The sequence below is a fragment of the Homo sapiens genome, chromosome 2, assembly GCF_000001405.40.
Source record: "Homo sapiens chromosome 2, GRCh38.p14 Primary Assembly".
In the NCBI taxonomy this organism is placed as follows: Eukaryota; Metazoa; Chordata; class Mammalia; order Primates; family Hominidae; genus Homo; species Homo sapiens.
This window is the reverse complement of record NC_000002.12, coordinates 47,265,995-47,288,605: the sequence shown is the minus strand read 5'-3', so window position 1 is coordinate 47,288,605 and position 22,611 is coordinate 47,265,995. Positions and strand designations below refer to the sequence as shown.

At 46.3% G+C, this 22,611-nt stretch overlaps 1 long non-coding RNA gene across 2 annotated transcripts in view, besides 4 other annotated features; it reads left to right on the top strand.

Moving 5' to 3' along the window:
- EPCAM-DT (EPCAM divergent transcript) overlaps positions 1-22,611 on the top strand; it is a 152,670-nt gene that overhangs the window by 56,469 nt on the left and 73,590 nt on the right. The window lies entirely within an intron of this gene.
- Positions 5,690-5,890: a silencer, noted in NCBI's record as "peak3693 fragment used in MPRA reporter construct". NCBI's record gives its function as "represses an SCP1 promoter by STARR-seq MPRAs in K562 erythroleukemia cells {active_cell/tissue: K562}" and the evidence as "EXISTENCE:reporter gene assay evidence [ECO:0000049][PMID:32103011]".
- Positions 13,402-13,902: an enhancer, noted in NCBI's record as "H3K4me1 hESC enhancer chr2:47501843-47502343 (GRCh37/hg19 assembly coordinates)". NCBI's record gives its function as "activates a minimal SCP1, AML or CMV promoter by ChIP-STARR-seq in primed H9 embryonic stem cells {active_cell/tissue: H9 hESC(primed)}" and the evidence as "EXISTENCE:reporter gene assay evidence [ECO:0000049][PMID:30033119]".
- Positions 13,903-14,403: an enhancer, noted in NCBI's record as "H3K4me1 hESC enhancer chr2:47501342-47501842 (GRCh37/hg19 assembly coordinates)". NCBI's record gives its function as "activates a minimal SCP1, AML or CMV promoter by ChIP-STARR-seq in primed H9 embryonic stem cells {active_cell/tissue: H9 hESC(primed)}" and the evidence as "EXISTENCE:reporter gene assay evidence [ECO:0000049][PMID:30033119]".
- Positions 15,963-16,142: a silencer, noted in NCBI's record as "silent region_11462". NCBI's record gives its function as "represses an Ori minimal core promoter by ATAC-STARR-seq in GM12878 lymphoblastoid cells {active_cell/tissue: GM12878}" and the evidence as "EXISTENCE:reporter gene assay evidence [ECO:0000049][PMID:35858748]".

Genomic DNA, 22,611 nt, shown 5'->3' with positions numbered 1-22,611 from the left:
ATTTTTGGTCATCATAATCATGTCTGTGTGCTATAAATTATGTCTATATCTAATTTCCATCAAAAGAACTATAGAGGCTGGGCACGGTTGCTCATGCCTGTAATGCCCGTACTTTGGGAGGTGGAGGCGGGCGGATCACTTAAAGCCAGGAGTTTGAGACCAGCCTGGCCAACATGGTGAAACTCCGTCTCTACTAAAAGTGCAAAAATTAGCTGGGCATCGTGGTGGGTGTCTGTAATCCCATCTACCCTGGAGGCTGAGGCACGAGAATCACTGGAACCCAGGAGGCAGAGGTTGCAGTGAGCCAATATCTCACCACTGCACTCCAGCCTGGGCAACAGAACAAGACTCTGTCTCAAAAAAAAAAAAAAAAAAAAAAAAAAAAAAAAAAAAAAACTATGGAAAATGGCCAACTAAGCAAGAAGTTCAAATAATGATCTTGGCACAAAAGCATGAGATCAGCCTTTTTACTATGTGATCACGAATGGTCTTCAGAGATTATTTATGGTCACAGGGGAGACTGTTTAGGAAAAATTATGCATAGTTTGGAAATAAGGCAAAAAGATGACTACAAGATCTTCTTTCTGCAATTTTTTATTGTGTTAAGATACACATAACATAAAATTTACCATCTTAACCATTTTAAAGTGTACAGTACAGTGGTGTTAGATACATTTATAATGTTGTATAACCATTACAGTCATCCCATCTTCCCTCTCCATAACCCTTCATCTTGTAAAACTGACACTGTAATTCCCATTAAACAATAATTCCCATTTCCTCCTCCTCCGCCACCTCCACTACCCCCAACCCCCACTCCCTGGCCCCTGGCAACCAGCATTCTAGGAATGTGACTATCTGTCTCTAGGAATGTGACTACTCTATGTACTTAGTATAAGTGGAATCATGCAGTATTTGTCCTTTTGTGACTGGCTATTTCATGCAACGTAAAGTCTTCAAGGTTCATCCCTTTTGTAGCATATGTCAGAATTTCATTTCTTTTTAAGGCTGAATACTGTTTCATTGTATTTATATACCACATTTCGTTTATTCATTCATTTATTGATGGACACTTTGGTTGCTTCCTCCTTTTTGCTATCGTGAATAATGCTGCTATGAACATGGGGTACATTATATTCCTTCACGTCCCTGTTTTCAATTATTTTGGGTATATACCCCAAAGTGGAAGTGCTGGATAAGATGGTGCTATGGTTTGGATAGGGTTTAATAGTCTCCACCAAAATGTATGTTGAAATTGGATCCCCAATGTGGTGGTGTTGGGCCTAATGGGATGTCTGGGTCATGAGGGTGGATTCCTCATGAATTGACGAATGTCCTCCCACTACGGTGAGTTCTTACTCTCTCACTAAGCGTTGAAGCAGGAGGGTTGTGAAGGTCTTTCTCCACAGAGCACAGGGCTGGAAGGGAATTCTAGCAAGCGCACCAGGTAAGGCTTGAGATAATAGCTACCTTGTCTGAATAGAAAGAAAAATGCCCAGGGGCAAGTTTCAGAACATGGGCTAATATTGCAGTGATCGATCCAAAGCTATGTAGCTGGTTTCATCCATACGCAGAATACAGGGTTTCCTTCTTTACTGCACTGACACAGAGTATACCAATTCCTGGGGTGGGTGGGGGCTCTACAGCCAGGAGAGAGGGGACAGGTGTTAGGAACTGCGTGTTTGTGTCCCCTCCAAAAATTCATATATTGAAACTTTAACTCCCAGTGGGATGGTATTAGGATGTGGGGCCTTTGGGAAGTAATCAGTTTCTGAAGGTGGAGCTCCTATGATGGGATTAGTGCCCTTATAAGAACTGACTGGGTGGGGCACGGTGGCTCAAGCCTGTAATTCCAGCACTTTGGGAGGCTGAGGTGGGCGGACCACCTGAGGTCAGGAGTTCGAGACCAGCCTGACCAACATGGTGAAACCCCAACTCTACTAAAAATACAAAAATTAGCTGGGTGTGGTGGCGGGCGCCTGTAATCCCAGCTACTCAGGAGGCTGAGGCAGAAGAATCACTTGAACCTGGGAGGTGGAGGTTGCAGTGAGCTGAGATCATGCCATTGCACTCCAGCCTGGGCGACAGAGCAAGACTCCGTCTCAAAAAAAAAAAAAAAAACTGTGTGTGTGTGAGTGTGTGTGTGTGTGTGTGTGTCTGCCTCCCCTGACAATGTGAAGATACAACAAGAAGACAGCTATCTGCGAACTAGGAAGAGTGCCTTCACCAGATACCAGATATACTGGCACCCTCATCTTTGACTTCCCAGCTTCCAGAACTGTCATATATAAATGTTTGTTATTTAAGCTACCCAGACTATGGTGGTATTTTTGTCATAGCAGCCCAAACTGACTAAGAAAACAGGAAATATCACTTATAATAATTTTCTTTTGAGACAAGGTCTCACTCTGTTGCCTTGACTAGAGTGCAGGGACATGATCATGGCTCACTGCAGCCTCAAACCCCTGGGTTCAAGTGATCCTCCTGCCTCAGCCTCCTGTAGCTGGGACTACAGGCATGCACCACCATGCCCAGGTAATTTTTATATTTGTTGTAGAGATGAGGTTTTGCCATGTTGCCCACGTTGGTCTTGAACTCCTGGCCTCAAGTGATCCACTTGCCTCTGCCTCCCAAAGTGCTGGGATTACAGGCATGAAGCACTGCACCCAGCCACTTGTAATAATTTTGACCACAACATAGACCAGTCTTCCCTAAAAAGCATTCAGTGTAAATAACCCAAATGATCATCAGCCAATGAATGGATAAACAAAATATGGTCTATCCATACAATGGAATATTGTTCAGCATCAAAAAGAAATGAAGGACTGATTCCTGCTACAACATGAACGAACCTTGAAAATGTTATGCTACATGAAAAAAGCCAGTCACAAAAGACCACATGGTATATATGACCCCACTGATATGAAATGTCCAGAGTAGGCAAATCCACAGAGACAGAAAGTAGATTAGTGGTTGCCAGGGGCTGGAGAAAGGGAGGAATGGGAAGCAACTGCTAACAGGTATAGGGTTTCTTTTGGGGGTAATAAAAATGCTGTAGAATTAGACAGTGCTGTGATGATTGCACAAACTTTTACTAAAACCCACTGAATTGTATACTTTTTTTTTTTTTTTTGAGATGGAGTTTCGTTCTTGTGGCCCAGGCCGGAGTGCAATGGTGCCATCTCGGCTCACTGCAACCTCCACCTCCCGGGTTCAAGTGATTTCTCCTGCCTCAGCCTCCCTAGTAGCTGGGATTACAGGTGCACACCACCACACCCAGCTAAATTTTTATATTTAGTAGAGATGGGGTTTCACCATGTTGGTCAGACTGGTCTCGAACTCCTGACCTCAAGTGATCCACCTGCCTCGGCCTTGCAAAGTGCTGGGATTACAGGTGTGAGACACCGCGCCCAGCCTATTGTATACTTTAAATGGTGACTTTTATGGTGTAGATATTATATCTCAATTTTTTAAAAGAAAAAAAGTGATACTGCTAAAAACAAACAAACAAACAAACAAACAAAAAAACCCATTCATTGTCACCATAAGCTTCTGGCTACAGTTTTCTAAATGGCTACAATGACTTTCAACACACTTCATGTAACATAGTAATGGCAACAGATTTAAGAAGCTGACAGCAAATGCAGGTTTTACAGGATTCTTCCCATGGAAACTTACTGCAGAGTTTACTTCAGATTCAAACTGGAAGGTCTATCCCAATGACTTCAGAAGCTGTGACAGTGTGTGCATTATCTCCTAGCAATTGTGATATTTCTTCCTAGTAGAGGCTAATTGTCTATTTAGACAGTAAGTTTTTGAAAAAGAAGAACCACATTTTCTTGTCTCCTGTGTCCCCCATATCTATGTTGCATATGTAGAACATGTAGAAAAACTTCTTCCCATTTTCCCTAATTATAGGAGAAAAACAATGCAGCCACTACAACATGTAATACTGAGTTGTATCCATTTCATTATTTTTAAATAGATGGAAGCAAATGGTGTCTCCATCTCCCTACAAAGGGGCTGGGCACAGGAATTAATATCAAACATGGTTAAGGAAATGCACAGTGTAGTTACTAGGAAACTTTTGCTTTCCTAGTCCTTGACTGGGCTGAAGTACGGGGCACTTTAACTTTCTCGTCTTCATCTTTCTACTTTTTGCTGCCTTTCTCTGTGTGTGACTGTGTGTGATCCCCTTACTTCAGGACTCCTTTATGTGCAAGAGAAAGTTCAACTCAGACTTCCAGAAACTTCAGTTAGAAAGGAAACAAGGAGATGGTGGGTCCAATGTACCTTGGCCCCAGGACATTTCCATGATCCAGAAAATAGTGTTGGCCCCTGGCCTTGTAGGAGGTCTCCAGAACCCTGTCCTAGTTGTAAGGTCTGGGTCTGCCCTCACTGGTGGGCATCTGGCTATACTGGTGATTACATATTCTGAATATCATGCTCACTGAGGCTGACCTCGGGCCCTCTCTTCTGCTGCCAAATAGGCCCCCTATGGCCTGGTTTCTGACATGAGGTTCCAGTTCCAGTCCCACTTCTCTTCCTGGCAGTGTGGGCCTGCTGTCACCTTGCTCCAAGCTGACTTCTGAGTGGCCCCAGGCCTCAGAGCTATATGGCAGACGCTGCCTGGGCCTGGCAACACGGCGGACACTCTGTGTTCTGCACCACCTCCACACACTTGATAGGCGGTGCTGATTCCAGATCCCAGATCCCAGATCCCAGGCCTTCCTGGCCTGCTCTGTTTCACTGCAATTAACTGGGCTATGCCTGACAGTGTGTCCAGATATGGCCTGGGAGGGGCAGGGAGGAGCAAAGCACTTCCTCCGCCCCCTTCAAAGGGCCCCCACCCCTGCACCCCAACAGAGGCAGCTGAACAGCCCCTTCCTGTGCGTTTCATCCTCACCGGTGCTACACCCAGCCTGTACTCCCTGGCTGCCATGTGACCCCTTCCTTCTGACTCCCATGCCCATGGGGCTCGGATCCCAGCTGGCAGCCAGGCAAAAAGCTCAGAGACAGAGAGCTACACTGAGGCTGAGGGTGGCCAAATGCATTGTTTCTTAAGGCTACCTGTTCCCCTCCTATTTCACCCTCCTTGGATTTAAAACAGAGTCTGAAGAGAGAAATACGTAAGGCAGAGAGTCTCTTTGGGGGCCAGTTTTCACTTCTGTGGTCTGTCCATCACACCACATAGAGAACCATGGGTTCCATCCTGGTATAAGGACAGGCCTATCTCTGAGATCAGAGAGTAATAGAAGCAAAAATAATAGCTAACATTTTTTGAGTGCATAGCCTGAGCCAGACATTTTGCTAAGCACTGTGTAACCATTTTCTTATTTTTTTCTCCAGGAGATAGATCATCACAGAATTTCAGATGTGTTAGGTGCCTGAGGTGGAGGCTGCTAGCTATCTAAGCCACAATTCATTCATTCACCCCTTCCTCCTTGGCAAGAGTGCCCTGATTTAATTTGAAATGGCCATGTAGCCAGATAAGGGTCTGTTATTTCCCAGCCTCCTTTGCAGCTATGAGACTAAGTGCAAGTGTTCAATGCCGGGTCTGACCTGCAGACCCTGGCTGAGTGATGGATGAAAAAAATGTATGCAGACACAGGTTTTTTGTGTGGCTGCACGGTTAGGGGACTGGGCTGCTCACAGATACCAAAGAAGGTGCTGTAAAGAGTCAGCAGCCATAGCCTCGATAAGCCAGTGCTGCAGGCATTTATTCAGTACAGATTTAATGACAAAAGCCTTGGGTCAACACACTTGTGGGTAATTAACATGGTTGCCCTCCCAGAGACAGCAGTCCTGCACAGATGATTAAAGGCCAGGTTCCAAGGCCTAAGTAAACTAACTTATCTAGATCAATTCTCTTACCCTTCTTTGTTATCTACTCTGAGAGAATTCAGCTGCCTTCAGCCACATTTTTTCCTGAAGCTTTTACAAAACCTAGCCTTCTAAGAAGGTTTGCATCTTTCTGTAAGTTTTCCCACCATCCTGACTGAACTCCTACAGTTCAAGACTTAGGCCCTTTAAAAAGAGTGACATTGTTTTATCCCTTCCCCCCTCCTCCTTCCTGCTGCCTGGAATTCCCAGGTGTTGGCTGGAGCTCACACAACGATAGTGGGCCTAGAATGGAAGCCATGTCTGGCAGAAGAGAAACAAGGAGCCCAGATCTCCATGGACCCTTCATATTATAGCAGCTGAGAACAGTCTCCCCATGGACTTCCTTTATGTGAAATAGTAAAAACTTATATGTTTAGGCTACTGTAGTCAGTTTTTATTTCTTCAAGCTGAACAAAATTCCTAACTGATTAGGGTTTTAGAAATCAGGTATTCAACAAATGATACTGGGAAAACTGGATATTCGCATGCAAAAGAATGTTAGACTCTTATCTAACACCACATACAAAAATTATTCAAAATGGATCAAACATAAAGAGAAGAGCTAGCTAAAACTATGAAACTCTTAGAAGAGACTGGGCATGGTGGCTCATGCCTATAATTCCAGCACTTTGGGAGGCTGATCCTGGAAGATTGTTTGAGCTCAGGAGTTTGAGCCCAACCTGGGCAACATAAGGAGACCCTATCTCTATAAAAAATTTAAAAATTGGCCGACTGTGATGGCTCACACCTGAAATCCCAGCACTTTGGGAGGCTGAGGCAGGTGGATCACCTGAGGTCAGGAGTTCAAGACCAGCCTGGCCAATATGGTGAAACCCTGTCTCTACTAAAAATACAAAAATTAGCCAGGTGTGGTGGCACACACCTGTAATCCCAGCTACTTGGGAGGCTGAAGCTGGAGAATCACTTGAACTCAGGAGGCAAAGGTTGCAGTGAGCCGAGATTATGCCATTGCACTCCAGCTCGGGCGACAGAGTGAGACTCCGTCTAAAAAAAAAAAAAAAAAATTAAAAATTAGCTGGGCATGGTGGCGCATGCCTGTGGTCTCACCTACTCAGAAGGCTGAGGTGGGAGGATTACTTGGGCCCAGGCAGCCAAGGCTGCAGTGAGCTGAGATCATGCCACTGTATTCCAGCTGGGGCAACAGAGCAAGACCCTGTTTCTAAAAACAAATGAACAAAAAACCTCTTAGAAGAAAACACACAGGAAAAGCTTTATGACATTGGATTTGGCAAGGATTTCTTGAATATGACACCAGAAGTACAGGCAACAAAATAAAAAATAGACCAGGCATGGTGGCTCACATCTATAATCTCAACACTTTGGGAGGCCAAGGTGGGTGGATCTCTTGAGCCTGGGAGTTTGAGACCAGCTTGGGCAACCTGGTAAAACCCTGTCTCTACCAAAAATACAAAACTTAGCTGGGCACAGTGGCTTGCACCTACAGTTCCAGCTACCTGGGAGGCTAAGGCAGGAGAATTGCTTGAGCCCAGGAGGCGGAGGTTGCAGTGAGCTGAGATCTCACCGTTGCACTCCAGCCTAGGCAATGGGAGTGAAACCCTGTCTCAAAAAAAAAAAGAAAGAAAGAAAGAAAAAAAAAATAGACAACTTGGACTTCATCAAAATTAAAACTTTTTGTGGATCATAGGTTTGAAACCATCAGCAGTAAAAAGGCAACTCACAGAATGGAAGAAAATACTTGCAAATCATATATCTGATAAGGGATTAACATCCACAATATATAGAGAACTCCTAAAATTCAACAAAAAATGAAATAACCCATTCAAAAATAGGCAAAGTACTTGAATAGACATTTCTCCAAAGGAGACATACAAATGGCCGATAAACACATGAAAAGATGCTGAACATCTCTAGTCATCAGGAGAATGTGGATCACAATTACAACGATATGTTTCCGTAGTGTAGTGGTTATCACGTTCGCCTGACACAATTACAACGATGCCACAACCAGTGAGTACCAAGAAAGAAAAAAGAAATTACAATGAGATACCACGTCACATCCATTAGGATGTTATATCAAAAAGCCAGAAACTATTAAAAACAAGTGTTAGCCATGATGTGGAATAATTAGAACCTTTGTGTACTGTTGGTGGGATTATAAAAGTTGCAGCCACTGTGGAAAACAGTATGGTAGTTCTTAAAAAAATTAAACATGTAATTACCATTTGATCCAGCGATTTCACTTCTGAGTCCAGGAGTTCAAGACAAGCTTGGGCGACATGGCAAATCCCCATCTCTACAAAAAATTAGCTGGGCATGGTGGCACATACCTGTAGTCCCAGCTACTTGGGAGGCTGAGGTAGGAGTATTACCTGAGCCCAGGAGGTCGAGGCTTCAGTGAGCCATGATCACACCACTGCACTCCAGCCTGGGTGACAGAGCGAGACCCTGTCTGGAAAAAAAAATAAAAAAGATTGAAATGCTGATACATGCTACAAGATAGTTGAACCTTGAAAACATTATGCTAACTGAACTAAGCCAGACACAAAAAAAACAAATATTGTATGATTCCACTTCTATGAGGTACCTAGAGTAGTCACAGTCATAGAGACACAGAGGAGAGTAGTGTGGTGGTTATAAGGGGGGTTGGTAAGAAGGAATAATAGGGAGTTATTTATTTATTTATTTATTTATTTATTGAGACTGAGTCTCACTCTACTGCCCAGGCTGCAGTGCAGTGGTGCAATCTCGGCTCACTGCAATCTCTGCCTCCCAGGTTCAAGTGATTCTCATGCCTCAGCCTCCTGAGTAGCTGGGATTACAGGTGCACCACCACACCCAGCTAATTTTTGTATTTTTAGTAGAGTTGGGTTTTCACCATGTTGGCCAGGCTGGTCTTGAACTCCTGACCTCAAATGATCCACCTGCCTCAGCCTTCCAAAGTGCTGGGATTACAGGCATGAGCCACCACACCTGGCCTGTTTTTGTTTTTTGAGATAGGGTCTCGCTCTGTTGCCCAGGCTGGAGTGCAGTGGTGAGATCTCGGCTCACTGCAACCTCTGCCTCCTGGGGGCAAGCGATTCTCATTGCCTCAGCCTCCCAAGTAGCTGGGACTATGGGTGCACATCACCACGCTTGGCTAATTTTTGTATTTTTAGTAGCAATGGGGTTTTGCCATGTTGGCCAGGCTGGTCTCAAACTCCTGAGCTCAAGTGATGCACCCACCTCAGCCTCCCAAAGTGCTGGGATTACGGGTGTGTTCTACCACACCTGGCTTTTTGTTGGTTTTCTTTCCTTTCTTTCTTTCTTTTTTTTTTAAGACAGGATGTCTCACTCTGTCACCCAGGCTGGAATGCAGTGGTGCGATCTCGGCTTATTGCAACCTCCACCTCCCAGGCTCAAGCAATCCTCTCACTTCAGCCTCTTGAGTAGCTGGGACTGCAGGCACGCACCACCATGCCTGGCTAATTTTTGTGTTTTTTGTAGAGATAGGGTTTTGCCATATCTCCCAGGCATTGTTTTGATGAGTTTAGAATTTCAGTTTTGGATGATGACAAATTTCTGGAGATGTATAGTGGTGATGATTACACAACAATGTAAAGGTACTTAATGTCCCTGAACTGTACACTTAAAAATGATCAAAATGGCAAATTTTGTTATATTAGCCAGGATTCTCCAGAGAAACAGAATCAATAGGAGCTACGAGACACATGTAAAAATTAGCTCCCACCTCCCTTTCCTATACTTTCCTAGGATCTTGTCAAGAAAAAAAAATATATAAAATTTACTACAAGAAATTGGCAGCTAGGTGCAGAGGCTCATGCCTGTAATCCCAGCACTTTGGGAGGCCGAGGCGGGCGGATCACCTGAGGTCAGGAGTTCAAGACCAACCTGACCAACATGGAGAAACCTCGTCTATATTAAAAACACAAAATTAGCCAGGCATGGTGGCGCATGCCTGTAATCGCAGCTACTCAGGAAGCTGAGGCAGGAGAATTGTTTGAACCCAGGAGGCAGAGGTTGCGGTGAGCTGAGATCACGCGATTGCACTCCAGCCTAGGCAACAAACTCCAAAAAAAAAAAAAAAAAAGAAAGAAAGAGAGAGAGAAGGAAGGAAGGAAGGAAAGAAAAAAAGAAAGAAAGAAAGAGAAAAGAAAAGAAAGAAAGAAAAAGAAAGAAGGAAAGAAAGAGAAAGAAAGAAAGAAAGAAAGAAAGAAAGAAAGAAAGAAAGAAAGAAAGAAAGAAAAAGAAATTGTCTCATGTGATTATGGAGGCTGAGAAGTCCCAATCCATCTGTGCTCAGCAAGCTGGACACCCAGGAGTGCTGATGGCATAATTCCAGTCTAAATCTGAGGCCAAAGGTAGAAGAAATTGATGTTTCAGCTTGAGGACTATCAGGCAGAGCAAATTTTCCCCTAAACAGCCTTTTTGTGTTCTATTTAGGCTTCAAGGAATTGGATGAGACCACATTAGGGCAGGCAATCTGCTTTACTCAGTCTACTGATTCGAATGTTAATCTTCTCCAGAAACACTCTCACAGACACATCCAGAATAGTGTTTTACCAAATATCTGGGTACCCTGTAGCCCAGGCAAGTTGATAGATAAAATTAACACTCACATTTATATTATATGTATTTTGCCACACTAGAAAATATAAAAGACAGAAGAAACAAAGAAATCAGGGAGTCCAACTTCCCTGTTGGATGAGCTGGGAAATGATTTGTCCTGAGTCACACAACTACCAGAGTAACCAGAAGAACCAAACCTGGGTGTCCGTGACTTGGTCCTAAGCCCTACCCCAAGGCCCCTTGTTTGGTGGAGCACATTCCATCACCTGCTCAGCCTTTGCATCTTAGAAATCTTTTAATCTTTTGATTACCCGCTTGGGGTTTCTACCTGGAGGCTGAAGAGTTCTCTCTTCTGCAAGGGTGGGAATGAAGAGGCAGGGGGCACGAGCTAAGGTCCAGCCCGCAGCCCTATCTATGGGGAGGTGAAATTCAAGACACCTGCTCAGGTAAGGAAGGTAGCTGCCCTTTCTTTTATGGAGATAAGGGATTATGTGGGCACTTTGCCCATGATGGATGGTCTCCCTGGCCTACTCCAGAGCTGGTCCTGTGGTCAGAATGTCCCCCATCCTCATCCCCCCGCCATGCATTGAGCATGACCACTAGCTGCTGGGGTCTCCTGGGTATTTGGCCTCCCAAACCAGACTGTAAATGCCCTGAGAGCAGGGATCACATCTTCTTTGCCAATGTTATCCTCCCTTACCCCACCCCAGCATCTGCCAAGCATCTCACTCAGGGCTCAGCACTCAATAACCTGCACAGTTCAGGAAACTCTCACAGATTGCTTCATACTTCCAAGCTCACATATCTTGTCAGAACATGTACCTTAGAAATCTGTATGGTTTCTCTTCAGGTAACTGCAGAGATCCTGAAATGCCAAATCTGGGGAGAGGTAATAAAGGAGGACTTGTGTGAGGCCTGGGAATGGACAGCAGGGTGCATGCAGGATCTGAGCAGCAGAGAATGAGGGCTGTCACAGGCTTCAGAAAATGGGCATGAAAGCCTGGTGCGGTGGTCCTGAAAGCTGTCACCTGGGGACAGCCACCTGCCAGGGATAGTCTAAGGAGGGATCATGTCCATCTCCATACCCAGGGCTGCTTCCACCTCCCTGGGCACATGTGGGGTAGATTGCTCTCAACCTTGCCCTGAGCTTCTCTGCGTCTCCAAGGCCAGAAGATGATGGTAAGATGACAAGAATGAGGGTTTATGGGGTATTGGCCAATGGTCACCTGCCTCATCACCCTCAGCTTTGATCACAGCCAGGCAATCATTGTTTTCAACCCCATTCCTGCCCCAGAACTAAGCCTCTGAGCTAGAATCCATTTCTACCTCCAGACAGAGACCTGTTTGGAGACTTGAAAAAAGTTACCAGCTCTATTGGCTGGGTGGTGGCTCATGCCTGTAATCCCAGTACTTTGGGAGGCCAAGGTGGGAGGATTGCTTGACCCCAGGAGTTTGAGGTCAGCCTGGGCAATATGACAAAACCCCATCTCTACAAAAAAATAAAAAAATTAGCCAAGCGTGGTGGCACGTACCTGTAGTTCCAGCTACTGGGGAGACCGAGGTTGGAAGAGGGGGTTGGGGGCATCTCTTGGCCTGGGAGGTTGAGGCTGCAGTGAACCATAATTGCACCACTGCACTCCAGCCTGGATGACAGAGTGAGACCTTGTTAAGAAAAAAAAAAAAAAAAGGAGAAGAAGAAGAAAAGAGAAAAAATATTAACCAGCTCCCATAGTCCCTTCTAAGATCTTGTCAACAAAAATTGTGAACGACTTTGAAATGGGCAATGCTTCCTGGGTGTCCTTTCAACAATGTCAGGCATTGTCTAGAGTAGAAGACCCTTCCTAGGTTGTCTGATTCTACAGGAATCTGTGCCTTTTATTGTCTTCAATGATGTGGCATCTCTGTAGAGACGTAAGTTAACTTATGGTAAGCTGATGCTTAAACACAAGATTCCTGTTCATAGAAATGCAAATGAAGAGGCCGGTTTTGCATCTATTAGTAAATTCCCTTTAACATCCCTGATTGCCTATATATGTGTCTGTTTCTTGGATTTTCCTGTGAACTGGTTGTAATATCTTACCAGTTCCCTCATTAATTAATCAATTGAATTGAAGTCACTGACATGCTCATTTTATATTTGTTTTTATTTTTTATTTTTAAAATATTTAAAAAAAATTTTTTTGAAACAGGGTCTCACTCTGTCACCCAGGTTGGAGTGCAGTGGCATGATCACAGCTCACTGCAGCCTCGACTTCACAGGCTCAATCAATCCTCCCACCTCAGCCTCCCAAGTAGCTGGGACTACAGGTACACGCCACCATGCCTGGATAATTTTTGTATTTTTTGTGGAGACAGGGTTTTGTCAGGTTTCCTAGGCTGGTCTTGAACTCCTGGGCTCAAGCAATCCTCCTGCCCCTGCCTCCCAAAGTGCTGGGATTCAGGTGTGAGCCACTGTGCCCGGCCTTATTTTATATTTGCATAAGAATTATAATTTTACCTTTTAAAAAATATCCTTTAACAGTTTTAAATATGGGTCTTGTGCTTAAGTTGAAGGAACAGAGAGGGAAAGGGAAGGAGGAGACGAGTGGAACTTGGCAGGTGGAAGGAGAAGTGGGAAAGGAGAAAATAAAAGAAAACCGAAAAGAAGGATTGAGAGGCAGAGATAGGCTGCGGGAAGAGTGGAGGGGAGGGAAAGAGCAAAATAACAAAAGTGGGAGGCAGAGAAAAGAATCTTATATATAGGGCGGACACAGTGGTGCAAGCCTGTAATCCCAGCACTTTGGGAGGCTGAGGTGGGTGGATCACTTGAGGCCAGGAGTTCGAGACCAGCCTGGCCAACATGGTGAAACCCTGTCTCCAAGTAAAAATACAATTAGCCAGGCATGTTGTCCTGAGCCTGTAGTCCCAGCTACTCTGAAGGCTGAGGCATGATAATTGCTTGAACTGGAGAGGCAGAGGCTGCAGCGAGCCAAGATCACACCACTGCACTCCAGCCTGGGTGACAGAGCAAGACTCTGTTAAAAAAAAAAAAAGAAAAAGAAAAAGAAAAAGAAAGAATCCTATATACAAATACAAATACTCTCTCTCTGCTTGAAGGAAAGTCTTTATTTTGAGTCAGCTATGAGAGGCCCTCTCCATCCCTCAGTCCGAAAGGGAAATTATTTTCTGCCTCTGTCGTTTCCCAGGTCACCAGTTATATTAAGCCAAGGTCCCTTGGTGGCTGCTGTCTGTAATTTTTCCACTCCCCATCCTTTTGAGTCAGATTGCAAAATAAGGACATTTTGAAACAGATTCTTTGTGATCAAGGCTGTGGACATGTGACTGGGGACTCTTTCAGGCCCTATGGAGCTGGGTAGGGTCCTTATTGAGGGCCCTGTTTAAATCAGCAACAGGAAGGCAAGCAGAACCACCAGGCTGCTGCCACAGGTGCTCTGACCCCAGCCTGCCCACTTGGGGAGGCCACGCAACATTCCCAGGCCTTCCCTAGGCAGGAGGACAGGGTTGCTCCTGCGGTGCCTTTGCCGGGGTTAGAAGTAGGTTCTTTGCCCTGCAATGTCCCCGCTGGCCTGGCATAGATCTGAAATTTAGAGAGCCAGTTGTCATAGTTCTAACATGCCCCTTCATCATGTGACTGCAGCTTCTCTTTCCAAATTATCTCCTGCCATACCTGCCCCACATCCAGTGCTCCAGCCAGGCAAGTCGACTTACCACCCTCTGAACATGTCAAATACGTTCACATCTCTATGAGCCTTTGCTCTGACTGTTCTCTCTGCTTGGAATGCCTTTTCCCTTTCTTCCCTACCCGATGACATCATACTCATTCTTTCCTCTTACTTCCAGGCAGAGTGAATTATTTTCTCCCTTGAGCCTTCATGTGTACTTTATATACATCTGTATTTAGACATAGCACTCATCGCTCTGGTTTGTAATTACTTGCCTGTCCGCCAGTCTGTTCTTCAAGGGCAAGAGCCCAGGCTTATTATTCATGGCCTGTCCTGGTACTTGGCTTAGTGCCTGGCACAATCATTCAGTCATTTCACAAATTTATTGAGCACTGACTATGTGCCAGGCTGTATTCTAGGTGCTGGGCCGTAAACAAAACTGATAAAGCTCTCCATTCTTGTGGAGCTTACATTCCCGCTGGGGAGGCAGACGACATACAAATAAACGAAAATAACCAATACGTTAGAGAGTGACAGGTGCTTGTGGAAAATCAAGGGAGCTAAGCACCCAAAGAATGATGGCGAGTATTGTTTTAGACAGGATGGTCAGAGAAAGCCTCTCTGATAAGGTGGCATTTACTTTTTTCTTTTTTCAAGATGGGGGTCTCCCTATGTTGCCCAAGCTGGTCTTGAACTCCCGGGCTCTAGCACTCCTCCCGCCTTGGCCTCCTGAAGTGTTGGGATTACAGGCGTGAGTCAGGCTGCTCGGCCATGGTGGCATTTAAATAAAGGCCCGAGGAAGGTGAGGGAGCAGGCGGGTCATGGGGGTGTCGGGAAGTGACCTTCTAGGCAGAGGGAACAGTGAGTGTAAAAGCCCCGAGGTGGGAGTGTGTCTGGTGTGCTTAAAGAACAGCATGGGGCCGATATGGCCATAGGGAAGTGAGTGGCAAGAACAGCGATAGGAGCTTAGCTCCAAGTGCTTAGGGCCATGCAGGCTAAGGCTCAGCTTTTACTCCAAGTGGCGTGGGGAACCATTGCAGGGATCTGAGCAGAGAAGACCATCTAACTTAAGTTTTAGAGCATTCACAATCTTATGGGACCTCCTGGATACTCTCTGGAAACAGATGGTGGGTGTTCACAAGGTCATCAAGGTCATCAGTAATGTGAGGCCAAGGCAACCAGCCCTTGGGGAGTGTGTCCTTGACCTTGACGGCAGGAAATGGGCGAGTCTGCTCCCTTAACTCTATGTTCCCCTTCTCCTTTTCCCTTAGAGAAGTGTCCCAGCTGATGGGGGCTTTCTGACCCGGGCACTGAACGAGCCTGGACTCTGGTGATACCAGGCAAATCTCGTGGGAAATAAACAGAGAACCCTGGCTTGTAACAGGAGTTTACCCCCAAAAGTCAAGGCAGACTTCCTGGAAGAGGAAGGCTCAGCTATCCGGTGATTAATAAAAGGCAAATCACCGCAAGAGAAACCAGCCTTTCGCGACCCTGGCAGTTGGACAGCATGGCTGTTGGTGCTGGGTCACCTTCAGAACGGCCTTGGCAAATGAGTGCTAATGAAAGCCTGGCTCAGGGACAGAATGAATGATTTAGACTACTCACCCCCTCCAGGCTCTCTCCTAGGCACATTTGGTAAATCCTTACCGTAATAACCAATAAGAGTTGAAGACATCGCCTCTCCACCCCTCCAAAGAAGGGAATGTCTAACGGTGGAATTGCAGGCACTGGGTAATGCTGGCTCCTAAGTGCCCTTGGGGAGGAGACTTCCGAGAATGCTTCTATTCCCATTACAAAAAAGGCTCCCATTCCCACCTGCCTTCTCCCAGAGAGGCTTGCGGTGACCACGACAGGTGCAACAGGGCTCGAGCTGGCGCGGGCGCAAGGGGTTCCTGGTCGGCCCAGGGCCGGGGTCCCAGTGCGCAGGTGGGCGGCGCCGCGTGCAATGGAGGCTGGCGGCCGACAGAGGGCGCAACGGAGCCGCTGGGCTCCCCCTGCTCTTTCCCGACTACCTCGCTGCCCAACTGCCCTGTCAGCCGTGTTCGCGGTGCCGCGGGGCGTGTGTGGGCGCCGTCAGGGAGGCCTTCCTAGGCCACTCCTCAACCATCATCTGCTGCCGTCCCTGGCCGCGGCCTAGCCCCATTTCCGGTCAACTTAGTCCCCCGCCCCCAGGCCGTCCAGATCTCGCCACACCCTCTGCAGGCCACCCCCACCCTTCCTTCCCTTCCAGGTGTGGTCAGTCGGGGAGGGTGGTGGCCGGGGGTGAGGGGCATGGTCTGGAGGACGTGGGCCCGGAACCCGGGAGTGAAGATTAGCGGTTTTGTACAGGGAAGCTGCAAATGAGAAGCCATAGCTGATTTCACCCCCAGCCATTGCCTTAGGCCTCGGTAGCCTCAAGCCTTAGGCCTGGGCGCTGGGATGGGGGCCTAGAGTAGAGTCCAGGGCCCCTGGGGAATGTGGGAAGGCATCTGCCCTGTTTACTTCTGCAGGCTCTGGCTGGTGATAGAGCCAATCATTATTTGTATGAATGAAAGAAAGAAATGGAGAGTAGTCCAGGCACGGTAGCCCATGGTGGCATTGCTTGAGGCTGCGAGTTGGAGACCAGCCTGGGCAACATAGCCAGTCCCCGTTGCTTAAAAAAAAAAAAAGAAAAGAAAGAAAAGAAAAAGAAATGGAAAGTGATCTAGGGATCTGTTTGTCTGTTTGCCTAAGACCCAGCTCTGGCCAGCCCTGATGGGTCCCAGGGGACCAGCAGGCTTTGCCATGCTCCTGTTGCTATGATACTTACCTGGAGCCCTCTCCCTCCATCTTCCCACACCTCACACGTTCCCTTTCACTTCTGCCACTGTTCCAATGCCCTTGCTAGTACTTGATCCAAATCTCTTATCCTAGCTTTCAATGTTCTGCATGGTCTTGCCCCACCCTATGAAGGGTAGCCGAATACACGGCCCTAAAATATGCCACTTGGGCACAAGGATTATTTTGAGCTGAAGGCAGTTGAGAAGAAGCAGAAACATGAAAAACTCTCTGCCCTCCCCCTATTTGCCTAAAAGCCGGATATAAATTTACAAGGGTGTCCCTCCTTCCCTCTCAATCAGGAAGGACAAAGGTTGATCACAGAAGACGGCCTTAGACCTCTATCAGCCTGGAGACAGCACCAGAGGAATCTGCATAAAAAGCTTTGCTAACTAGCCTTTATCTACCATTATTTTGTTCAGTTATTTGTCTTTCCACAATTGCCACCCCTAGGGACTCAAGGTCCATTGCTTTTGTCTTGTCACTTCTCTAAAATTGCATTGTTTTTTGTTGAAGATGCTATATAAGAGTTCTAAGTCATCTCTTCAAGGTTTTCTCATTTTCCCTGAGTGTCTCCCATGTTTACATATTAGTAAACTTCTGTGTTTTTTTCTTTTTCTTTTTTTTTTGAGAATGAGTCGCACTCTTGTTGCCCAGGCTAGAGTGCAGTGGCACGATCTCTGCTCACTGCAACCTCCGCCTCCCAGGTTCAAGCAATTCTCGTGCCTCAGCCTCCTGAATAGCTGGGACTACAGGCACCCGCCACCACACCTGGCTAATTTTTGTATTTTTAGTAGAGATGGGGTTTCACCATGTTGGCCAGGCTGATCTCAAACTCCTGACCTCAGGTGATCCACCCACCTTGGCCTCCCAAAGTGCTGGGATTACAGGCGTGAGCCACCGCACCCAGCCCTGTTTGTTTCTCCTTGTTAATCTGTCTTCTGTTACAGGGGTCCCAGCTAAGGACTCAGAAGGGTACAGGGAAAATTATATTTCCTCCCTGACACTATCTTACAATACGTGCTGGACTCTTCCATTGCTCCACTAAATCGACTCAAAGTAACATAATTTCAACCGGCCTTCCTCTGGCGAGCTGCCCATCCCCTTTTTCCCTATCAAGAACACCTCCCTTGACTTGCCTCCAAATCTTTCTCTTCCTTCAAGGCCAGGCTTCAGGAAGAGAATCCCATTCAGTCCCTTCAGGAAGCATTTCCTGACTTTTTCAGCCCATAATGAGTTTTCCCAGCTCTGAATGTGGCATTCACTCCTTGACCCCTTTTTTTTTGGTACCAATTATCCTACTGGGCTTTGTCCTATGGTACTTTTGTACCTGCCTTTTCTCTCTAGCTAAATTGTAATAATTTGGAAGGTAGGGTCCAAGTCTTACTAATCTTTTTCTTTCCCCCTTCCATTCATCATACATTTATTGAGCACCGACTACATACCAGGTATAAAGTCTAGTACATAAGGTCCCAAAGGAGTGTAGGACACAGCCCCCACAATGGAGTTCTGGAGAAAATAAAACACATGGGGCTTGAGAAAAAACAGGGAATGTGTCTCCCCCATGGAGCACTCATCAGAAAAATCTGGAGTGACTTCCTGTGGGAGCACTCAGCATCCTGAATGAAGAAGCAGTCTCATTCTCAGAGGGAGTGGCTGCCCATTCATGGAGACACTCACTCACCCGTTGCCTCATTCATTCATTCATTCATTTGATAAATATTTGTTGAGTCCTCACTTTATCCAAGTGACTCATGAGATTGGTCACACTGCAGCCCAGGGCTGGCTGGAGTGTGTGTGGTGGGGGTGGTGGGGGACACCAGAAGCCCGGAAAGCTTTAGGGGTGTGTCACTTCTTTGTCAGTTCCTGTTAAGAGGCATGAGTCCCTGCTGGAAATGGTCTTGGGAAAGATGGGGTGGGCGTGGCAAGGGCAAGAAAGCTTGGAGTTTCATGGAGGAAAGGAGGATGGATACCAGCCTTCTCTGAGGGCAGGGTGCCAAACCCTGCCTGTAGTTCCCTTTGGAACAGTTTGCTCTGCCAAAGAGCAGGTTCCCTTTAAAGTTCTTTCCTTCCGTGATCATTTGGGGCTTTTCAAACAGCCCCATGAGGCATTGGGTCATATACCAGCCAGGAAAGCTAAGGCTAGGAGATTTATGATTTCCCCCATAGTCACTGGGCTATGTCAGGCCTAGGCTTAGGCCTGGCCTCCCCAGTTTCGTTGTAGAGGGCTATGTTCTTGACACCTTTGGACCCTGTATGCCAGACTTTACACCTGGTATGTGGTAGATACTCAACCTGCTCTCTCAGCAGGAATCAGTCAGAGGGGAGGAATCTCTGGCTCCACATAGTGAAGGAGGCAGGCCTCTGGAACAGAACACTTTAAATTTCAGACCAAAGTGATGGCCTTCATCATATCTAGCCACTGGCAGCTCTTTGGCTCTCACTCAGAAATTAAATGATAACTAATTACCAAATCCTAACTCCAATTGACTTCCAAACTTTACTTATTTATTTATTTATTTATTTATTATTTTATAAAAATATAAATAGAGAGAGGGTTTTGCCATGTTGCCCAGGCTGGTCTCAAACTCTTGGACTCAAGCCATCTGCCTGCCCTGGCCTCCAAAGTGCTAGGATTACAGCTGTGAGCCACCGTGCCCTGCATTTTTTTTTTTCTTAGAGACAGGGTTTTGCTTCACACAGTCTACAGTGCAGTGGTGCCATCATACCTCATTGCAGCCTTGACCTCCTGGGTTCAAGGGATTCTCCTGTCTCAGTTTCCCAAGTAGCTGGGACTACAGCTATGTGCTACCATGCCCAGATTATTTATTTATTTATTTATTTATTTATTTATTTATTTATTTATTTTTTATTTATTTATTTTGTAGAGACAGTGTCTTACTATGTTGCCCATACTGTTCTAGAACTCCTGCAAATTCTTTTTTTTATTTTTATTTTTTTCTGAGATGGAGTCTTGCTCTGTCGCCCAGGCTGGAGTGCAGTGGCGCGATCTCAGCTCAGTGCAACCTCCGCCTCCCAGGTTCAAGCAATTCTCCTGCCTCAGCCTCCTGAGTAGCTGGGCTTACAGGCACCATCATGCCCTGCTAATTTTTGTATTCTTATTGGAGATGGGGTTTTACTATGTTGGCCAGGCTGGTCTCAAACTCTGGCCTCTTGATCCGCCCGCCTCTGCCTCCCAAAGTGCTGGGATTACAGGCGTGAGCCACCGTGCCCGCGCCACAAATTCTATCCTTAATGTCCAAATTCTAACCCCTCCTTTAAATCATTCACTCCTTTATTCTAATGGGAATACATCACTCCACCCCTAAGGGAAACTTGGCCTCTCTCAAATCCTCATAGCCCCCAGTGGGTTCAAGCATCCTGGGGCAATGAGAAGGTCCAAAATAAGGGTTGCATGCATGCCAGGGAGGAGCTGGTGACACCACGAATTTGTCTTCATTATGAAAGTGACCCCCTTTCTCTCTCCAGGTACTCAGGCTATCATGTTGTCCCCAGGCCCTCCTGGAAGGAGGGGAAAAAACATGGTGTTAACCCTTCTAGATATTTTCTAGCAAGGCCTAAAACAGGCAAGGCTTAGCAGAAGAGATGAAGCATTAGCAGAAGGAGTCCAGGTATTTAGGCATGAATTCATTTATTCAGGCATGAATCAGATATAATCCCCACCTTCAGGCGGATTGCGACCTAGAGACAACTGATTTTCTTCTAAGAACGCTTACAATGAGTTAGGTACCAGTGTTACGTATTTTCCATGTTATATTTTATTTAATTGCTACTATCCCATGGAAAAGGAACTATTATCCCATTTTGTGGATGAAGGAACTGAGGCTCAGCACTAGTAAAGGGCAAAGCCAGAGACTGAAAGCCTCCTAAGTCCCCTTTCCTGCATTGTTTCCAGGTGGGGCAGGTGAGAAAAGTGATCCAGTAACCCTGGAGGCTGTTTCTGATTCAAGTCACCTCCTGCACCACCTAGGCCCGAGCTGCAGGCTGTGGAGCCAGGAGATGGGTCCAGATTCTCTCCTAGGCTGCACCCACCTCGGCTAGGCTGAGCCTATTAGATTGCAGGCCCTGTGGGCAGGGCTGTTACAATGGTCGCCTGGCGTCAGTGGTCAGGGCCTGGACCCTGGGAGTTCTGTTGTGTGGTTACTGCTCTTTTCCCTGGTGTGTCATTCTTGTTGACCACCAGGGTTCCAAGCCACTGGAGAGCTTCCCATTGAAGTCACAGCCAGACTTGCTTTCTCCACAAAGTACAAAGCCCTGCCTTAAAGGGAGCAATTCTGCTTCTATTTTATGAGTATTGTAAAATAATGCTATTTAGTAACTGGTTATGTCAGGCAGCTACTCTATGCCCAGCCTTGTGGAGAGGAATGACCCCTGCCCTTAAGGTGCTTACAACGTGGTCATAAAATATATGAACTAATGAGTAGGGCATAATAATAATAATAATAATAATAATAGATGACATCTGTAGAGCATTAACTGCATACCCGGGGCTGCAGCTTTCAACAGGACTATCTCATTTAATGCAAAATAACATCAGCACACATTATCGCAACTTTACTGCTGCAGTATGTAACAGGTGGGAAGAGCCAGGGAAATGGGATCGGAAGAACTTTCAAATTTAAATCTTGTCAAATACTACCTGCATGATGCTTGGAAGGAACCTGGAAGTTACTTAACGTATCTGAACCTCAGCTTCTCTAGCTGCAAAATGGGGAATATTTTAAACCCCTAGGTAAAAAGTTACCTGTGAGTCCTCCAGGAACTCTCTCCTTTGACACACATTCTGGTCAGCCCCACATTCTCCTGGGGGATCTGACTCTTCCAGAGAAAATTCCTGCTAGAGGTGTTAGTCCCTCCCATCCTCAGACCCCATCTACACAGGTGAGCCCCGAGGGCTGAGCACCAGGACAAAGCCTTCCAGCAGTATAGACATTTTTCTTCTTTCCCCCTACTTTGTTGTTTTTTGTTTTGAGACAGGGTCTCACTGTGTCGCCTAGGCTGGAATACAGTGATATGATCATGGCTTACTGTAGCCTCGACCTCCTGGGCTCAGGTGATTCTCCCACCTCAGCCACCCAAGTAGCTGGGACTACAGGTATGTGCCACGTTGCCTGGCTAACTTTTTAAATATTTTTTTCGTAGAGACAGGGTTTCATCATGTTGCCCAGGCTGGTCTTGAACTCCTGGGCTCAAGAGATCCATCCACCTCGGCCTCCCAAAGTGCTGAGATTACAGGTGTGAGCCACTGCACCAGGCCTACTCTCCTACCTTTTGTTTGTGTATTTTTTTGGTAACCACAATCCTTGATGTTTCCTAAAGTCCAGTAGAAGGATCTCATGAAAATTGTGGCATTCCCTCTCAGGATCAGCCACGGCTTTTGCACACTGTTCCAGTTGGAGGAACCAACCACTGAGCATATATTCTTAATAAACACAAAACACACACACACACACACACACACACACACACACACACACACACCTCGGCTCAGTCACCACTGCACCTGGGAAGCCTTCCTTAACTCTCCTGACAGGCTGGTCTCCTCTCTGACGCATGCTCCAGGCACCATCCACTTCCTTCTCCTTTGTTGCTTTTGTCATGGCTATTATTTTACATTTGTTTCTGCAATTATCTGATGAATGTCTTTCTGCGTCTATGCTGTCTCCATCCATGACAGGGATTATGTCTGTTTATGCTTCCC